The sequence below is a fragment of the Homo sapiens genome, chromosome 6, assembly GCF_000001405.40.
Source record: "Homo sapiens chromosome 6, GRCh38.p14 Primary Assembly".
NCBI classification, from domain to species: Eukaryota; Metazoa; Chordata; class Mammalia; order Primates; family Hominidae; genus Homo; species Homo sapiens.
In genome coordinates, this window is record NC_000006.12 from 23,323,605 (window position 1) to 23,344,284 (window position 20,680).

General features: G+C 38.6%; 2 long non-coding RNA genes across 6 annotated transcripts in view; one reads left to right on the forward strand and one right to left on the reverse strand.

The window, feature by feature from the left end:
- Positions 1-13,141: 13,141 nt before the first annotated feature.
- Positions 13,142-20,680, reverse strand: part of LOC105374976 (uncharacterized) — a 289,589-nt gene continuing 282,050 nt past the window's right edge. For both annotated transcript variants that reach the window (XR_001744046.2, XR_007059501.1), the window contains 2 exons: positions 15,656-15,904; positions 13,142-14,655 (listed from right to left, as the gene is read on the reverse strand). This is a non-coding gene — a long non-coding RNA (uncharacterized LOC105374976). The remainder of the gene's footprint in view (positions 14,656-15,655; positions 15,905-20,680) is intronic.
- LOC102724749 (uncharacterized) overlaps positions 14,087-20,680 on the forward strand; it is a 66,451-nt gene continuing 59,857 nt past the window's right edge. For 3 of the 4 annotated variants that reach the window (NR_187789.1, NR_187790.1, NR_187792.1), the window contains exons 1-2: positions 14,087-14,192; positions 18,131-18,240. This is a non-coding gene — a long non-coding RNA (uncharacterized LOC102724749). The remainder of the gene's footprint in view (positions 14,193-18,130; positions 18,241-20,680) is intronic. The other variant, NR_187791.1, reaches the window with a different exon arrangement.

The following is a 20,680-nucleotide window of genomic DNA, read 5'->3' on the forward strand; positions in this document are numbered from 1 at the left end:
CATAAGAAATTAGACATTTCTAGATCATAACTCTTCCATACCTATGTTAAATTTTTAGACTACTTCATCCAACCTTCTTCATTCCACTGCGTCTCTTTTGTGTGCTGCCATATGACTTTTTAGTAGCCCTAGAATAATGGCACCCTGAAGAAGTGTCTGGATTTCCACTCTGTAATTTGGGTTGGGTTTTAAGGGCCTTAAAAAATGGTTTTTAGTATCTTCTTTGATCATTTATATATTTATTTTTATTTGTATTTCTAAAGAGACAGGATCTCATTATGTTGCCCATGGTGGTCTTGAACTCTTGGGCTCAAGCAATCCTTCCACCTCTGCCTCCCAAAGTGCTGGGATTATAGGCGTGAGCCACCATGCCCAGCCAATTATTTAAACTTATTGAATAAACAGTGCTAAAATCAAGTGACAGCTAGTTGACCACTTGAGAAGACCAGTTTCTGAGATTAATTTTGGACTGTTGCCGATTTGGAAACTCTGAAAAGAGGAAAACGTGGCTGTAGCTTTCTTTAATGGAATTTCCTCTGGCAAATATTCTCTTGAATTGCATAGCAGTATTTAATTCACAAAATGTCAGCGAGAAATAGTGTTAGCTCACTTGGCCCTCCAGAAGAAACTGTTTTGTCTAAGATCAGGTATCTTAATGACAGAGGCTTTTTATTAATATATATTCCTAGGCAGTGCAGCCACATGTAGTCACTATATAGGAAGGTTATGTTTCAGAAATATGAGTGCCTTATAATAAAGATATTTTCTTCATGAGGTTCCTAAAATGTATGCTAGGTAATCCATGATCCACTAAATCCATGAAGTAATGGGTCTGAGATATATGCCATAAACCACAGCAATTCCTTGATGGGAAAACTCGATGTGGATTTGTATATTTCCCTGAATGTCAAGAGTGGTGAGGATGACTAAAGTTAACTTTTTTTCACTTTTCCCCTTTCCTTTCACAAAATAGACAAAGTTAACTCCACTCGTTATTTCAGAAGAAAAAGTTACTTATTAAAAAAAATCCTTCTGCAAAAAAAGAAGCAATAAAAACAATTTCATAGTTTGAAATGTGGCAAAACATGTTGTGATAATCCCCCCAACACACACATACACACACACATTAAAATCATTCACGTAAGTTCTTATCTATTATTTCAATTATAGAAATGAGAAAAATTGTTCACTTTGATGGAAAAAGGCAATAATATAAAATCAAGACCAATTAATTTCAACATAAATTACATTTTCCTTAGAGAAAGGGTCACACCCTCACCAATGATATTCCTTCTGGAGGCACAAGTGAAGTTACTAAAGAGACAAATACATAAACATGCACATATTATACTCCAAGAACCTTAATAACCAACTGGCTGAAGCTTTTCATTCTGTAGCTGATTAGACAGAGAGCTAAAGTATTTAAATGTCATCTATGGTAGTTCTAAAATAAGTCCACAAGTTTTTATAAGCTCCACTCAAACGGTGGAGCCCAATTTCCCTGTCCTTGAGGGTAGAGCAGATTTAGCAACTTATTAATATTTTCAAAGAATAGAATGTGGCGGAAGTAGTGGTACAGGGCTTGTGAGACTAGGTCATAAATAGCACGGCTCTTTGCTGTCTCTTGGATAGCTTGGTCTGGGAGTAGCCAGCTGCCATGTCCATGTCAACAGAGAATTCTAACAGGGCCCCAAGCTTCAGACTCACTAGTGGATCATAGATTACCCAGCATATATTTTAGGCACATTGCCTCATGAAGAAAACATCTTTATTATAAGACACTCATATTTCTGAAACATAACCTTCCTATGTAGTGGCTACATGTGGCCAGTTCTAACAGGGCCCCAAGCTTCCTACCCCTTGATGTGCATGCCCTGCCCCATGAGTGTGGGCAGAACATATGAATACCATCATACATGCATGAACAAATAACCATATATGGAAAGGGTAAAGGGACAGTTACCCCTTGGTTATATTATGTTATGTAACACTGTCATAGCAAACTGGAAGGAGATTCTCCTGCAGCCTTTGAAGAAGTAAGTTGCCATGCGGCGAGAAGGTCACATGCTAGGACCTGAGGACAGCCTCCAGGAGCTGGAAGAGATGCCTGGCCAACAATCAGCAAGGAAACAGGGACCTCATCCCTACAACCATAAGAAACTGTATTTGACAAACAACCTGAGTGAGCTTGGAGAGGGACCCTGAGCCTGGTGAGAACACAGCCCAGCCAATGTCTTGATTTCGGCTTCAGAAGAAACTCTGAGCAGAGGCCTCCATCTAACCTATGCCCTGACTCCTGACCCATGGAAACTGTAAGATAACAAACGTGTGTTCATTTGGGTCATTACATTTGTAGTACTTTGTTATAGAGCAATGCAAAACTAATACTGAAAGGCACTCAGGCCTTCTGCCAATAACCACCATCATATGAATGAACCATCTTGGAAGTGGATCTTCCAACCCCCATCAAATCCTCAAGGACTGCAATCCTGGCTGACATCTTAACTGGAATCTCATGAGAGACTCTAAGTCAGAACGGCACAACTAGGCTGCTGTATACATCCTGTTTGGTTAAAAATATATTTTATAATGTTTTAACATCTTTAGAGGCCTAGCTGGCAGGATAAACTCCTCCTCCTATGGCTAGCAAATTCAGAGATAATAAACAACTCACTGATGAGCAAAAATGCATATTTCCTGTGTGAACCAGCCAATCTCAATCTCAAGTCAATACCTCCAACCACCTGCTTTATTTGACTCACACACCAAGCCAATATTTTCCTGCCCTAAATCAACCCAAGACCAGGAAGGTATCACACAACTAGAGACCACCCCTACAGCACAGAAACCCCCATTATTCTAATCAGTCAGTGCTAAACGTTATCCCTGACCCGCTGTGCCTCTTTCACAGAAAACACAATAAAGACTCTGGGCCATAGTTTCTCCTCCCTTCTTTCCTCTGCCTCCTGACCAACTCTGGCGCATCCCCACATGACCCTGTGCAGAGTGGCCTAGCTACCTGCTCTGGGGAAATGCAAGTAATACATTCTTCCTTCAATGAATAAACCTCCCTATGCCATCACTCAAAAAATTAAAATTCTACCATCCTAGCTAACACAGTGAAACCTTGTCTCTACTAAAAATACAAAAAAAAGAAAATTAGCTGGCCATGGTGGCAGGTGCCTGTAGTCCCAGCTACTTGGGAGGCTGAGGCAGAAGGATGGCATGAACCCAGGAGGCAGAGCTTGCATGAGCCGAGATTGCGCCACTGCACTCCAGCCTGGGTGACAGAGCAAGACTCCGTCTCAAAAAAATAAAATAAAATTTTATGGATGCATTTTTAACAAAGCTACTCCCTAATTTCTGATCCACAGAAATTATGTAAAATAAATGTTTACTTCTATGTTAAGCTGTAATTATTGGGAGAATTTGTTACACAGCAAGAGATGACGAATGCACCATCTTTGCCACTACTCATTGACAGGGCCACAAAAGTGAATCTAGGTTACTGATCCTCCTGCATGTAGGATAAAGTAGCAAAAAGAGCACAGATTCTGACTTCAGACAGATCTCAGTTTGAATTAAAACACTGCTGTCTACTTTCTCTTTAGGCTTCGTCAAATGCCTTTTTCCTCGATGAGTCTCAATTTCCTTATCTTTAAAGTGGAAATAATACCAAAGTCATTAGCATTCTATGAAATTTTTGAGAACTAAGCAAGAGAAAAGTTAAAAAGGGCTTATCATGGAATTGGAATTAAGTAAATATTAGATCTTTATTTCTAATCTTGTGTTCTTCTCACTGTCAGTATGACAACCAAGTTAATAATCAGTTGCTAACACAAATAAATTTTGTTGGTCTTAAGATCCCTGACAAGCTCTCTTTGTATAAGCAACTAACATTTGAAGGTAATGGTAAAGGCATCAGAAGAGGGAAACACAAGAGATTGATATGCATAGGAACAAAGAGACCACCATCACTATCACCATCTTGAAGAGTTTCAGTGTCCTTTCAGGTATATTTTGTAATTCTTGGTTGCGGAAGTGAAGGGAGCCAGGTGGTTCCAGTAGAGGCTGAGTGCTGTGCCAGAACACCACTGTGAGAAAAAGAGGAAAACACAGTGCTCTTGTTTTCTCTTATACTTCTTATCTTTGCTAAGACCCATATCTCTCCCTTGCTGTCTTTCCCTCTCTCTTTTCTGAGAGATGTAATAAAAATATGAACAAATGCCAGTTGGCCCACTAATATATCCCTTCAGCTAACAAATCATGTCAACAAGCATATAGCAAGGATGATTCTCAAGGTTTATATCTACTTGAGAAAAAAGTTATGACATATTGAAAAGTTTAAAATCATAAGATGAAAATATAGACAATTAGACCTCAACATTAATAATGAAATCTCAAATAGGGGCTTCAGATAGGTTATTTGGAGATGGATTGTACTCCACAATCTTCATGAAACAAAAATTCTGGAAAAAATATTAAATTATAATGATAATTTTGATATTCATCTTTTTTTTAGTATGCTGGAAATATGGAAACAGTGAAACTCTACCCCGTCCGATACCATATACAAAATCAGTTTTTCTCTCATATGCTTTGTGTCATAAAAATATTTTGGCTTAAGCAAATGCCAGAATTTTTTCTTCCGTGTATTCTAGAAGTTTCATAGTTTTAAATGTAATGTTTAGGCATATGCTTCATTTTAATTTAATTTTTGTATATGGTATAATTAAGTACAAATATTCTATTGTTTCAGCACCATTTATTGAAAAGCTACTCTTTCCCCATTAATTTACTTGGGCAACATTGTCAAAAATCAAATGACTATACTGTCTATGTCTATTTTTGAACTCACTATTCTATTTCATTTACCTATATGCCTATTCTTATGTCAATACCATATCATCTTCATTACAGTAACTTTATCATGTTCTGAAATCAGGTAGTGTAAGTAGTCTGTTTTGCCATTCTCATTAAAAATCATCTTGGTTCTCTATTGCTTTTGTATTGTCATGCAAATTTAAGAATCAAATTGCCTATTGTTACAAAAGTAATGTATCAATGTTGATTGAAATGTTTTTGGTGTATATTTCACTGTGGGGAGAATACACATCCTGATAATATATAGACTCCCCGTCCACAAACACAGTGTATGTCTTTATTGGTTTAGGTCTTCTTTAATTTCTCTCAGCAGTATTTTGTAATCTTAAGGTAAATGTATTGCACACATTCTATGAAAGTCATCCCTAAATTATCACATTATGATGCTATCACAGCTGTTTTTTCAATTTCCAATTTTTCATTGTTAGTATACAGAAGTACAATTGACTTTTATGTATAGACCGTATATCCTGTGATATTGCTAAACATCCTTATTCATTCTAGCAGCATGTTTGTTCAAATCAGAAATAGCAGAGAAATAATTCATTACCTATCGTTTCTTCAAATCATTCATATATTTGTACCTACCTCTTCTCTCTACATTAAAATCATTAGGAGTGTGCATAAAAACTAGAAAATGCCTGTTAAAAGAGAAGCTGCTGCCTGCTGTCTACCAGAGGAATATATGTTTGATGAGAGGTGCTTGGTTTGGGAAATCTGTTCTTGCTGTCAAATGCAGTTCTGGCTATATGCAAATAGAAATATGAACCTATTGCTCACTGCCTCCTGTGGTTCTGTGTGTCCCAGGAATGCCACTCTGCCAGCCTCCATCTGGCTTCTCAATTAGAGCCCAATAGGACAACTGATTTTCTGTTGTTCTAATGAGAAGGCAATCAGTTATGTGTTTCTTTCCATCAAAACTTGATTTGGTTATGGAATAGTACGATTTTTATTATTGCTATTTTAATATGCCCTAGGCTATTTGGTATTTATAATTTTTTTTTAAGAAAATGCAACAATTTTTATTTGTTTAATCCTGGTAGCCCTTCTCTTTACAGGTCACTCATATTCATTACTGATAGGCTTCAGCTTTAAAACATTACACCCTTCTCTAACCCACTAATATGGCCTCTCCCAATATCCCACCGGAATGCTTATGAAAATACACTAAAGACAAGAGAATCTATAACATAAAGTGCAGACTAATAAACATTGGCGATGGCAAAAACAAAGTTAAATAGAAAGTAATCTACCCAATGTAAGTCACAAGGCCTAGCTACATGGTTCTTCAGAAAAGCATCTTTAAAGAGGTAAAAAAGGCTCTTTATATCCCATGAGACTCTTTATAAGAAGCTTCTTATGTCAGAAAGTCAGGGATTATACAGACTGGAAATTCTCACTCCAAATAATCCGATGCATGTTTGAAATTACATGGATATAAAAAAATTACTACAAGCAGCCAAGCAAATAAAAGTGTCTACAAATGTTGGAACAATATCTATAGAGTTATCAAAGGAAGAGTTGAGACTAATAAACTGTACATCTAGAGAATATAAAAAGACAAAGGCAGATATTTTCAAGATTCAGGAAATACTCTACTATGGAAACTTTTGTAACTGGATGAGTACTTTGATCTTGGAATGAAGATGACAACTGGTATTTATAATCTTTATTCTTCATGCCTGTCTCTTATCCCCTAACACATTTATAGACAATTTTCTGAATTGTCGAAGTTAAGGAATAGTTATTTTTATATTGGGATTGTGAAAGAAAACCAGATAGTTTAATAAGTGCAGTGTTAAAAGGGCATTACCAGTACATAATAACATAAGTTGAACTCCTATAATTGAACACTATGGATAACTAGAGGCAATATGCTAAAAAAAAAAAGGTTAACTGGCCGCCTGTATTAGTCTGTTCTCCTGCTGCATAAGGTCATACATGAGACTGGGTAATTTATAAAGGAAAGAAGTTTAAGTGACTCACAGTTCTGCAGGGCTGGGGAGGCCTCAGGAAACTTACTATCATGGTGGAAGGGAAGCAAATATGTCCTTCTTCACAATGGCATCAGGAAGAAGAAGAATGAGTGCCCAGCAAAAGGGGAAGCCCCTTATGAAACCATCAGTTCTCATGAGAACTCACTGTCACAAGAACAGAATGGGGGAAACCGTCCCATGATTCAATTATCTCCACCTGGTCTCTTCTACAACATGTGGGGATTATGGGAACTACAATTAAAGATGAGATTTGGGTGAGGACACAGCCAAACCATATCATTGCCAATGATCTTTGTTTTGTAAGCCTGTTCAAAAACAGGGCATAAAAGAAATGAAAGTTTGAGAAGTGCTTGCGCAATCTAAACCAATCATAATGAAATTAATGAAGATTCTGTGTTTCATTTTCTACTGTGTTCTTTAGAAGAGCTGCTAGACCTAAATAGTAAAATAGTTATCATAGGATTTTACCTCTTTTTCCACCCCATGCCTTTTGGGGAGATGATGGCCTCAGGGACATTGCCATGAGGTGAGAACAGAGAGACGAAAGAAAATCATTGACAAAAATGATTAATTCATTTTAAACTAATCCATAGCAATAAGATGATGTATGCTTTACTATGTCTTTTCCTCTGAAGGAAACCTTACACCATAGCCTTTGAGACTGACAGATTTATGTTAGTAACCTGGAGCCTGGATCCAACAGGTAAAATGAGATGAAGACACTCACTTAAGGGAACAGAAATGCATTGCCCATATTACTATAAGTCCCTATCTTTTTCTCAGACATAAGTGATTTCCATATCTAGTTAGCTGTATATCTAGATCTAGATCTGATGATATAGTATCTACATATGGATAGACAGATAAAATAAGCACACACACACATGCACATGCTTTTTCTTCTAGTGTTAACTTTCTTACATATGGGATGTGCCTAGGCTAGGGGTATTTATGTATGTATGTGTGTCTAATGAAAAAAAATCTTTCTATAAGGTTAAAATGTAGTTCTGACTAATAAAATGAATCAGATACCTCAGTGATAGAAAGTCAAGCCACTCACTCATTATGGCTTCTCACTGGAATTTGATGTGGGTCAATCAAAGAAATACCTGCCATAATTTCAATAGCTAGCTAGTGTTTCTGCAGTTGAAAAAATATCAGAATTCAGGAGTCCAACAGCATTAGTCTTTGTAAAATTGTTTTGAAAGATGGGTCACATTACTTCATATAGAAGCATACCTAAAAGCAACTGAATGTAGCTTTGAATCAATAAGAAACAAAGACAATATATATACAATAAATTGGTGTAGATGAACTTCTGAAAGCCATCTGCAGAGGGCAATAAAAATAAAATGACAGAAAAGTTCCCTGAATATTATGACAGTATCAGAACCAGAGACAGTTTTTTTTAATGTTATAAAATAATTCGGTAAGAATAATTTAGTAGAATGCACAAACCCAAGTACAGTGTGACTGTAAAGTAATGAAACTTATTTAACCAATCTCACATACAACTGTGTTTCCATTCAGATGCTATATATTGAAAAGTGTCAACTTTCCTAGGAATCTTTATGGCATCTATGTAGAAGCAGGCACTTTACTGGGATGTTGATTTGCTCTATTCCTGGTTTCTATCAGAACTATTATGTATTTTCCAGTCAAGCTTAAAATAGGTCACATTGAAACTTTAATGAGATTCCTTCTCCTAAGGAACTTCTCTCCAATGACTTCAAGTCCACTTTTCTAACCAAAGAACAGGAACAATTCTTTACACCCAAACATTCAGATTCTTTTAGTTAATAAATTGATTATCCAGATGTTCTTCTCCATGTGAGGCCAAATCTTTGAATGCTACTAATTATTTTCTCATGCTTCATATCACATGGGCAAAACAGTTTCATGTGGTAGTGCATGGATATAATTGTGAGCCTTATATGGTTTAAATAGACTTTGGGATTTTCTTGCCTCGAGTGGAGTTTTAAAATTTCGGAAATTCAGTTCTTTTGAATTCTATGATGATCTTTGAAACCTGACTAAATTTTACCTGAAGAAAATAGCAGAAGCCTATATTTTGGTCATCTGCCACTAGGTAAATAACAAGAGCAATATTCTTGGCAAGTCTAGCTCAAGAAAGTCATGTCCAATCACATCTGATTATATTCAGGAAGTCTGGAATTTAAATGGTTTGAAAACTAATGTCTGCAATTAAATAATCAAATAAGTTAGCAAATTAACAATATCCTCTAAATTACCTCCTCAAGTAATTGTAACATTTATAATCAAATACATTTGCAGAAAATATTTTTACATCTTTGCTTTTTGATCTGCATCTTAAAGTGCTGGCTCACCTGCTTTGATGAATGTGAAGTCCTCATAGTCTATTAATTCTTTTCAATATTTTGATTCTAGAGCAGGTACCAAACCTTGCAGATTTCAGTTTTTGTATTTTTTTTTTTTACCTTTTTTGATCTTTCCCTACAAGCCTTTCTGCGTATTTCTTAGCTAAAAGGAGGGATATTATTTGTTAAAAACAAACTGATACAGGAATCATGAGGATTTACTTCAACAGGTAGCCTTCACTAAAAACCACTGATTATGCCTGTGGTCCCTGCTTTTATTTAGTTTGATCACTTTTTCTGATATTTGCTTCTGAAAAATACTGTATCTTTCAGAAACAGTGTGGGGTTATTAGGAAATTATTAAGATGTCAACTCAGCCTGTGCTGGTAACCTAACAAGGGTTCTACCTCTTCAATGATGCAGGAATCCTTTCGCAGGAGAACAAAGCAATCTGCAGATACATCTATGAGGAGAGACAGGGAACTCTTTCTTCTTTATGTAGAAAACTAGTTGATTAACTATTAAAAGCATCCACAATTTTAGTGAAAGTTTTTAATTATATCGGTCATATATGGCCCGGAAATTAGTTCATGTGGTAACTCCAAAAGTCTATAGACCGTTTCCTGACACACACACAACACTCCATTGGTAACCCTGAGCCTCACTGCAATTAAACCAGAATTGACACTGCTATAGGGCTTGGAGAATATATGTTATTGCTTACTTCATGGTTTAAATCTTAGACCTATCATTTTCTATTTATGTAACGTTGTTCAGGCGATTGCCCCTTTCTGTTTCCTCATCTACAAAATAGATAATAATATCTATTTTGCTAAAATGATTTCACAAGATAATTTGTATTTCTCAGTGCCTTAGTGATCGGGACTTAACACAATCTTCCTACAAACCATTCTCAATGCAGCAAACATAGCCCTTATAAACACTGAAGTCATCTTATGCCACTCCTCTGCTCAAAATTCTTTAATGGATGTCCCCTCAATACTTTCAGAGTGAAAGCGAAAGTCCAGACAGTGGCCCAGAAGACCCAGCACTATCTGTCCTCGTTGCTGGCCTGTTATCTCCTCATCTTCATTTCCTATAACCCTCTCTTGGCTCAGGCTGCTCCGATGGCCTGTTCTCCTTGATTCTTCACAAACCTTATAGCCACGTTCCTGTCTCAGAACCTTTGCACTGTTTCCCTGCAGGGAATAACCTTCCTCCAAAAGCCACATAGTTCGCTTCCTCTCCTCCTTCAACTCTTGGCTCAGTCACCACCTTCTCAGTGTGGCTCCATTTAAAACGACAGTCCTTCTCTTAGCCCGCCTGATTCCCTCCATCCTGTTCTGTTTTTTTCTATAACACCTGATCCTCTCTAATATACTATATCATTGATTTGGTATGTTTTTTATTCATTTTTTCCCTCACTAAAATGTTGCATCATAAAAATATATTTGTTGTTGTTGTTCTTGTCAGCTTTGTTCACTCACTTATCCCCCACACCTATAAGAGTGCTTGGCATAAAGTAGGTGCTCAAAAAATATTTGATGAATGAATAATTAGTAAGTGGTAGTGAGTTTTTGCATTAGTACTTGGCCTAATTTACTTTCTTACGACTTAGTTCATAGCCACTTCTTGTCTCATTCTTCTCCAGAGTGCCACATATGGCAGGGTAATTATTCTTCCCAAGGAAGTGCAGCCTGGTTGTGAGCCCAGACAGCCTCCAGCTACCTCGGAACATGATCATTTCCCATTTCTCCACTTTTACAAAATAGCTGTGCGGCGGTATGCCTTTGAGTGAGCATTCAAGAGTCTCCAAAGAACACTGCTTGTTTTTTTTTGTAGTCTTGCTGTGGGGGGGAATAATCTCCACATAACTCGATCTTGCCAAGGGCCACAGTTTCTCTCTTTTTTATGCCCTGCAATATAAAGTCAGCTCAGGATCTACTTTTCAGCCATAGCTGACAGTGCCTGGGTCCCTCTATTTCCACCAGACACCAGGACCATTGGCTATGAGTTAAGCCTCTGGCACACTACGCCCAGCTTAACTGCTGGTAATGAGAAAGGAGGAGTCACGCCACAGTCAAATAAAGTGCTCCTGGATGGAACTGAACATACAAAGGATGTTGGAGGTAAGGTAAATAGTGAAGAGTTTAAAGATTACTTTCTCTTAAACAATATTCTGCAAATTACCCCTCTTCTTCTCTTCCCTTTTCCTATAAATACAAGGGGCATACATTAAGGTGAGGAAGATGACAGATGGTTTCAGAGAGAAAACATGAACAACAGTTTCTTTGTTTTTATTTGGGCAGACGTGATGGGAGAGGCTCATGCCACAGCATGAGAGGGTCAGGTAGGGCTGCTGAGGAATGATTCACAGTATTCTAGTGAGACTCTCTTGGATTAAAACAGTTGGCTGCACATGGAAACTACATTGCTCTACTCTTAAGGAGAATTGAGAATAAACAAAACGACCTTGCCCAGCAACTGACTTGAACAGGATACTTCCCTAAGTTACCACTTCAAGTTTAAAATTGCAGAAGAGCACACGGCTGTGTATGAATACCGATGTATGAAATGATGGTAGTCTGCACTTCTTCAAAGGGCATAAGTTCCAAGCCCCTACCCTCCCCAGTGAATGCCCGAAACCACCATCAGTTGGAACACTTCTATTCTTGTCTTCCACCCACAAATTTAATGCCTTTCCATCTTAACTAAGCACTTATCACGCACTGTGGCCGTAACTTTTGTGGTTTGAGGAGTGACAGTAAAATTAGCCTGAATTTCTTTTTCTTCCTTCGCAATTTCACGTATAGAAGATTCCTTCTAACTGTAGATCTCAGCAACCTCAGCATTAGGATTTTTTTTTCTTTCCTTATTAAATATTTGCACTTTGGGCCCATTATCAAGTAACACAAGAGTTACTTGAAAACAAGCACTGTGATACCACATCAGTCAATCTGATCACAGATGGCTACTGAGTGACTTGTGTGGAGAGCATCTACAGCTTGCATTTATTGGACAAAGGGATGATTCCCGTCCCAGGCAGAGTAGAGCAGGAGGGCACCAGGCTTCATCATGCTACACAGAATGGTGGGTAATTTAAAACTTATAAATTGTTTATTGCTGGAATTTTTCACTTAATATTTTTGGACTGCCATTGACTGTGGGTAACTGAAACTGCAGAAGGTGAAATTGTGACTGGGGGAGCTACTGTTTTCCAACAGCGCAATACCTGTAAGCATGTGGAAACATTAGTCAGCATAATATTGGTACAATGTATCGATTTGCTTGCCAACCTTGTGAGTTAGTAATATACTAAGCTCATTCATAATTGCAAAGTATTAAACTTCCTCTGTGGGTAGCATTGCACTATACTTTGGGGGAAAAGATGCAGGAAACTGTCTTTCCCTCCAGGGAAGTCACAGATGAATGTGGGAGACAGACAAGAAATAGAATAACTTATCATATATTGTGGTTACAATCAATGACAAGATAAGTTTCTGAGTGTTAAGGGAACATAAAGAGACATTGGGGGCTGGGCGCCGTGGCTCATGCCTGTAATCCCAGCACTTTGGGAGGCCGAGGTGACTGGATCACGAGGTCAAGAAATCCAGACCATCCTGGCCAACATGGTGAAACCGCGTCTCTACTAAAAATACAAAAATTAGCTGGGCATGGTGGTGTGTGCCTGTAGTCCCAGCTACTCAGGAGGCTGAGGCAGGAGAATCACTTGAACCCAGGAGGGAGAGGTTGCAGTGAGCTGAGATGGTGCCACTGCATTCCAGCCTGGTGACAGAGCGAGACTCCATCTCAAAAAAAAAAAAAAAAAAAAAAAAAAAGATACATTGATTGGAGATGCGAATCTCAAGTAGAAAGGCAAAGAATGCTACATATTTCCAAGAAGATGTTACTTTGTCACCTTGAAAAATGCCTGAGTTGGAGTTAGCTAAATGGAGGTGTGGTTGAGTGAGAGGGGCCATGATTAGCAAAAGAAAGAGCTTGAGCCAAGAGGTGAAAGCAAGAAAGTGTATCCTGAAGGACATAGAAGGGACAAGAGGCAGGAAGGCTTTCTCTGGTATCCTAAAGAGTTTGGGCTTGACCCTGGATGGAGAACTGCTAGGAGAATTTGGGTAAGGCAAAGACACAACTATTACATTTTAGAAAAAAATGATACCACTGGCAATACAGAAAATGTATCAAAGTTGAAGCCACTGGGTACATCATGGTTCAAGTCGCTGAGAATGAGAACTGATAGAGACCTAAGGGGGTGGCAAGTAGAGGGGAATTCATGATGAACTCAGTTTGGAATATGTTGAATTCACATATTCAGAGAAATGTTTAGGGTAGTGGGGAAGACAAGATTTGGGCATAAGAGAGAGAAGAAAAATTTGAGAGGTTGAGATTGTGCAGTGCTTTATCATAGCATGTATGATCTCTTGACACATTCTTTATTTCATGTCTTCCCTGACTAGAAATAAACTTCACGAGGGTGAGAACTTTGCTTTATTTCCACCATCTAGAACTGTGCCTGAACCACAGGGAGCACTCAGGAAAAATTTACTGAAAAGATGAATTATTCAGAATTGTAGTTGAAAAGGTGTCTTCAGAGGAGTTTACTTACATGCAGTGGACATGAAATAGGGCATAGAGTGAAACCGTAGGCAAAACATTGGGTGGATAATGTCATTTGATGCCAAAAAAGAAGCACTGAGGAATTAGGAAAAACAAGAGATAATGAGGTCCCAGGTGACAATGGAAGCAGTTGTGGAAAACTGCTTTAAATGTCATAGAGCACTCAGAAGGAATTCATAAATGACCTCATAAAGAAGTCCACTGTGGTTTCCCTGCAGAGGTGGGAATAGAATCAGAGTGCTAAGGATTGAGGGATTAAGAGGAGGTGATTGTATTATTCCTCTTTTCAGATAATGGAGAGAGAGAAGAGAACAGCAGTAGCCGTTGCCAGAAATATTGAGTAAGGAATAATTTTGTCTATGTTTTTACATTTTTATTGAGAGCTGTTAAGATATGATTAAGTATGAAATTAGTAGTGAAGTTGAGGTTGAAGACAGGATAGAGTGGTAACAGGAGGAAGAAGATGTACAGAGGGTGTAAGACCAGATCTGTTTCATTTCCAGCTGTAATCTGAGTTCCATGCAAGCACTGGCTACATAATACACACTCAGTAAATCATTATTAATTGAATGAATATATTTTTGAATGAGAAAATGATGAAACAAGTGAATATACGTGGGTCAGAATCAGGAAACAGGTAGAATAGTAGTTTTGGCTGGTGGGGGAGCAGGGCTTGTCTGTGTCTTTATCTTTCTTCTTCCAGGCAAACAGTGCTTGACTCCCGTGAGTTTTTGTCCTTTTCTGGATATTAAGGGGCCAGTGGCTTTCTGGGCCCTAAACCCGCACCTTTGATGTTCTTCTCTCTGCATTTAAATACAATTAGACACGATGTGATCACACGTCTGTCTCCACTTTCCTTCTCCAGCCTAAGTTTTTCAGTTCCACTTAATTCCACCATGTCTTGAATGATTCATTTTATTTTACTTACATGTATACATCCTCATCTCACCCTCTTAACCAACTCACCCACATTCTACCTGGTCTCCCTGTTCCACCTCTGAGCATTGCATAGATTATCTGAGATTTCAAGGCCACCTTTCTGCCTGTTTTGCAATCAAACTTGTCTCTTGTAAACACACGAGAAAACCTCACCTCCTTTATGAAGTTGTCAGAGACTCCTTACAAAATACTAACTCAATGGTGTAACTCATCTGCTATTTTTATGAGTGGATTAGCTTCAGATTGTTTTTGCATGGAGACACACAGGATGTATGGTATTTGCTAGGATAGCACACTCCTCATGAGGACACCTGGGAATGCTCATCTTTTCCCTGAGCACTTGCAGTAAATTCTCCTTTTTTCCTCCTACTCATAATGAATATGAATTATGTTATAGGAATAACATTAAATCATCTCTAAGTTAGTACTTTTATAAATTCTAACATAGCTATTAGTAACAAATATTTTTTAAAAATCACACCAGTACTCCAGACTCTTTGAATAGGTTAGAGCACAATTAAGGTAGACTTAAATATTCAAACAGACAGAAAGCTTCTCCCTGTATGGCTGCAGACTGTACCTTTCTGACCAGCCATCTTATCAGTTTGAATTTCTGGTGATGAGGGGATTTAGATAAGGTGTCCCTTCACTAAGTTTACCACAAATCATATGACAGCAATTCAAAGATTATGCCTTATTCTTGACTTAAGTACAATGTGGATAATGTTGATTTATAATATAGAAGTTGTATTCGTTATCTATTAATCATTGCATAATAAATTACTCAGTGACATAGAGGCCTAATATATTTATTGAAACTGTCTCATACAGTCTCTATGGGTCAGAAATCCAGGAGGAGCTTACCTGGGCGATTCTGGTTCTAGCTGTCTCATGAGGTTTCAGTCAAGATGTCAGCAGGGCCTGCAGTCATCTAAAGGGTCCACAGGGGCTGAAGATGTGCTTCCAGGTGGCTCACTTTCATGCCTGACAAGTTAGTGCTGGCTTTTAGTAGGAGGCCTCAGTCCCTCACCATGAGGCCTCTCTTCCCTCCACCCCCATGAGGCTGCTGGCGTGTCTTCATGTTATCTAGCAGGCAGCTTTTCCTGGAGAGTGCTACAAGAGGGCAAGGCAGAAGTCTCAGAGTCTTTTATGTTCAGCCTGAGCACACACACCGTCATTCCTGCAATGTCTTGTGAGTTACACAGGTCAGCTTAATTCAGTGTGGGAGGAAACTACACAAAAGCATGAATACCAGGACCTGGTGATTGACGAGTCTTCTTGTCCTGGGTTTTGCAGAACTGGTGTAAGAAAGAACTACGTGTGTGCCTATAGAGGTATTCCTGTGTATGAAATACTTCTAGATTATGTGCTTGTGATGGTTACTTTTATCTGTCAACCTGACTGCATCATAGGGTGCCCAGATTAAACATTATTTTTGGGTATGTCTTGGGGGGTGTTTCCAGAAGAGATTCACATTTGAATCAATTGACCCAATAAAGTAGGTTGCCTCGCCAGTGTAGGTGAACAGCATCTAACATAGGTGGCAGAAGGAGGAATTTGCCTGTTTTCATTTCTGCCTGCCTACTTGAGTTGGAACATTGGTCTTCTGCTCTTGGACTGGAAATTACACCATCTGGGATTACCCAGGCTCCTATTGATTCTGTTTTATATATCTGTTTTCCTATTAGGATTCCTCTTATATTAAAACGCTTTGTTTACCTCAAACACTTTACATTTTCATTACTTACCTTAGCACCTTCACTACAATTAGTGCTAAATATTTACCGAAAATAAAGAAGAGGCATCAATATACATATTTTGGCATACTTATTTTTTACATTTATTTTCAAGCATTTCAGGGATAGTGAAAAGTCCTGATCAGTTTGCATTCAGCCAAGTATGTTGGCTATATTTACTCCAAATGCCCATGCATGATTTCAAGGGCATAATGGATATTGCAGGGACTTGGAGTCCTCTTCCAAGAAAACTGGAACCCCTGCCGGGATGTGGATAGCAGATGTGTAGTCCTGACAACCGGGACTGTGTTGTATTGCTGGATTAGATGTTCATTAAGGGAAAGTGGTGTATATGAGCTTTATACTCAAGATTTACCACTAATGCTTTCCAGACCCACAGGAATCTTCTGCACTTGTTTTTCTCCACTAACTTTAAGAGACTTAAAATCAGCCATGGGAAGTCAGAGACCAGTCCCGTGTCTCAAAGATGTGGAGATTTTGGCATCTATCCTTCTAACTGACTTGCAGTAGAAGAATGGCCTAACGAAACCTTGTTCATGTTACACGTGCTCATTTGCCCTGAACACAGATATGTAATCCAGAAAAATGACTGCCAGCACGCTGGAACAAGGTTCAGCAACCTCCACCCCCAGCCGATTGCAGTGACATTGTGCGTAACAGGCTAGCAAAGACTTGGAGCCCAGGGGCAAATTGTTTAATGTATCCATGTCTCTTTTACCTCCCTGCCTTGTAACAATAGAGCGATGATGGCTGGTACATCTTACAGGACTCTTGTGACAAAGGGCTAATAAAAATCTAAGCAAAAGCACTGTGCAAAAAAAGGGGACTGTAGGAGGCACGGTGTAACATGATAATAGAGCCTAAGAGACCTAAGTGCTTTGGGGATAATTAGAAGATTTTGGCAATATCTTCAATGTCACTAAGGTCTGAGTAACCACAACTTCAAGAACTTCATTCTGTGGTTGACTCAGTTACAGACTCTTTCACTTTACCAGGATCCACTTTCCCACTTTTTTTGATAGCAAGACCAATGTTGTTCAATTGGGTCAGGTCATATGGTGGTAGGGCCAAAGAAACATAAGGAGTCAGGCCAATCAAAAGGATGAATTCAGGCCTGTTTGGTCACATTGATGGACTTTGGCCCTGGTATCTTTTTATTTTTTTTTTAATAAAGATACTTTAAATGTTTCTGGTAGAGAAGAGTGCTGCCTCTCAACTAGAATGTTTTCCAGACTGTTTTGTACACAAGATAACTCATGAGGTATAGTGGCTCACCCCTATAATCCCAACACTTTGTAAAGCTGAGGCAGGTGGATCACTTGAGGCCAGGAATTCAAGACCACCCTGGGCAACATGGTGAAACTTCATATCTACTAAAAATACAAAAATTAGCCGGGCGTGGTGGTGCGCACCTGTCGTCCCAGCTACTCGGGAGGCGGGAGAGTCGGTTGAACCTGGGAGGCAGAGGCTGAAGTGAGCCAAGATTGCACCACTGCGCTCCAGCATAGGCAACAGAGCAAGACTCTTCTACAAATAATAATAATAATAACTCATGGGAGACTTGCACATTTATCCCCTATAGGCAAGGCGGATTTATTAGATGAAGATATCAAAATACTTTCCATTGAGGAAACAGGTTGGAGGTGGGAGGCTGTAACCATGCTTGATTTTGTACCACCCTAACCTTTGCTTGTAAGTATACTTTTTGAAAACCCATTTTATTGAACTGAAATGTATTTTGTTCTGAAGGGTTGAAAAAGGCTAAAGAAGTGGGAAGGAATTTTTGTTAAACCTTATACAATAAGGGAAAATTTTCCAGCAACATGGAAAGACATCAGAATTGAAATCCTAGTGAACTACTAACTATGTGAAATGGACAAGTGGCTTATTATTCCAATTTTACAGAAAAGAAAAATGAGACATAAATGTTAACATCTATGTGTATGATGATTACGTGAGATAAATTTGGGTCTCTATTTTGAGTGTTTTGTGGGCAGGAATGGATTAGGACTTTCTAAAATATTAAATGGGCCAATCTAAATATGTGATCAAAATTTTTCAGAGGTATATTTTGTGGTATTTACAGCAAGATGAGAATGTATTTTAAATTGATCTTTGATCATATTTTTATCTTTTAAACATGTTCTGCCTCATTTTCTCTGTAATAATAACTATAATTATATCCATTCCTCATTATAAAGCTGCTCTTTTTTCTTTTCTGACATTCTGCCTTCATCGACTAATGGTGGTGAGGCTACTACCTCCTGAGGTTACTTATAAAATTAAAGCGATTGGGAAGGAATGTTACATGCAGTCCACATTGTATGTGATACCGAGAGGAGACAGGAGGGCAGAGTCCCTGATGAGAGCTCCACCCTTAAGCCTGGACCCGTGGCCCTGAATGAGAACAGGCATTGCTGCTTTCCTGCCCAAAGGCTGCTTTTTCCAAAACCACCGTGGCCCACCATGTCCCCTATCCTGTACCTATAAAAACCCCAAACTCCACTGGCAGAGGAATAGAGTGGCACAGCAGAGAAGGAAAGAATAGAAGTGTCTGAATGTCAAAGAGGGAGCTGGACAGTCAGAGAGGAGTTTGGCTGGGGACAGCTGAGCTCCAGGGGAAGATCATCTTCCCACTCCATCCCCTTTCCAGCCCCCCAACCCACAAAGAGCCACCTCCATCATTCAGTAAAACCTCTGCATTCACCATCCTTCAAGTCCATGTGACCTGATTCTTCTTGTACTCTGGACAAAAATCCAGGTTCCAAGAGGGCAGGGTATATGTCACCCTGATTCTCCACGGGACTGTTTAACACTTAGCCCTCTGTGGACAGCAACTGCTAAAAGAGCATTAATTGTAACACATGCCCTCTGGGGCTCCAGAGGTTGTGCGCAACTGCTAGATGCTGCCCCTGGCGCCCAAAGGCACTAGCCCTGGTTCCCATACCCACTTACCTGCATGCTCCCACTCCTGCAAGGGGCTTGAGTTCAGCAACAAAGCAAAACAAGCTACCACCAACCCTCCACACCCTCCCTGTGGCAAGACTCGCAAGAGGGTCAGGGAACTCTCCCCCGTCATATGCGTTATTCCAGTTTAGTTACCTACAAAATAAACTTGCCAGAATTAGTGTTTACTACATAAGCTAAGCACCTATTTCAACATGTGTGAGCTTCTAAAAAGCAAATCAATGCTCTTCTGTCCAATTTTGGCCAAGGCTTCATGATCTCTTTCCTTAAAACATCAACTTAAATTTTACCATTACTTTTCTCTCTTCCTTCCCCTTATCCTATTTAACTATTATTAGAGACATTTTAAAAAAATTCCTTTCCTTTTCCATGCTTGGTTTCCTCAATAGCGATTTTATATAGAAAACATTTGACATTATAGTCTAGCTTTTCATAGTTAAAATTAAATATTTCATTAAAAAGAGGAGTCTATTTTTTCAGACTTGTAGGGCTCTGGGAAGTGGACTTATGAAAAAAATGACTTTGTATTTATTTACAGATAAATAACCATGTGTCTGTAATTAGTAAGAGATCCACTGTATGTAATTTATCTTTTTCTTATGTGTTACCTGTTAAAGATGACCTTGTGTTTCCCGACATGCTGTCAAGTGAAAGATTTTGTAAGAATCCTTCTATATTCCTACATTATTTTATTGCATTGCTCATCAATTTTGCATTTTCTCCCTCTCTTATGATCCTAGCCTTTCCTTTATTAGAAGTAATTATCTAGTTCATAGAAAATTGTTTAATTTGGTTATTTTCATTACTTCAAAGAGAAATTCTAATGTAGAACGATTTGTTTATATATCTCTTGCAGACTCAAAATACACACCACTATTATAAAAACCTTCCCTGCCTAGCTCATATTTCCCCCGACTCCTACCCCATGGTTCCCTAGCTTATTGAATGTACTCATAGCATCTCTTTTAGTCTGTATTGCTATCATGTGTTTTTCTAATCTGTTCCCCATAGTAACAGTGAAATCCTTGAGGGCACGAGTCTTATCTTTTTCAACTCTATTTTCAGCACCTCGCATTGTGAGTTGGTGTAAGTAGTTCAGTAAATAACTGTAGATGTCAAAATAAATAAATGTCAGCTAATTTTTATGTATATTCAAAGATAAAAT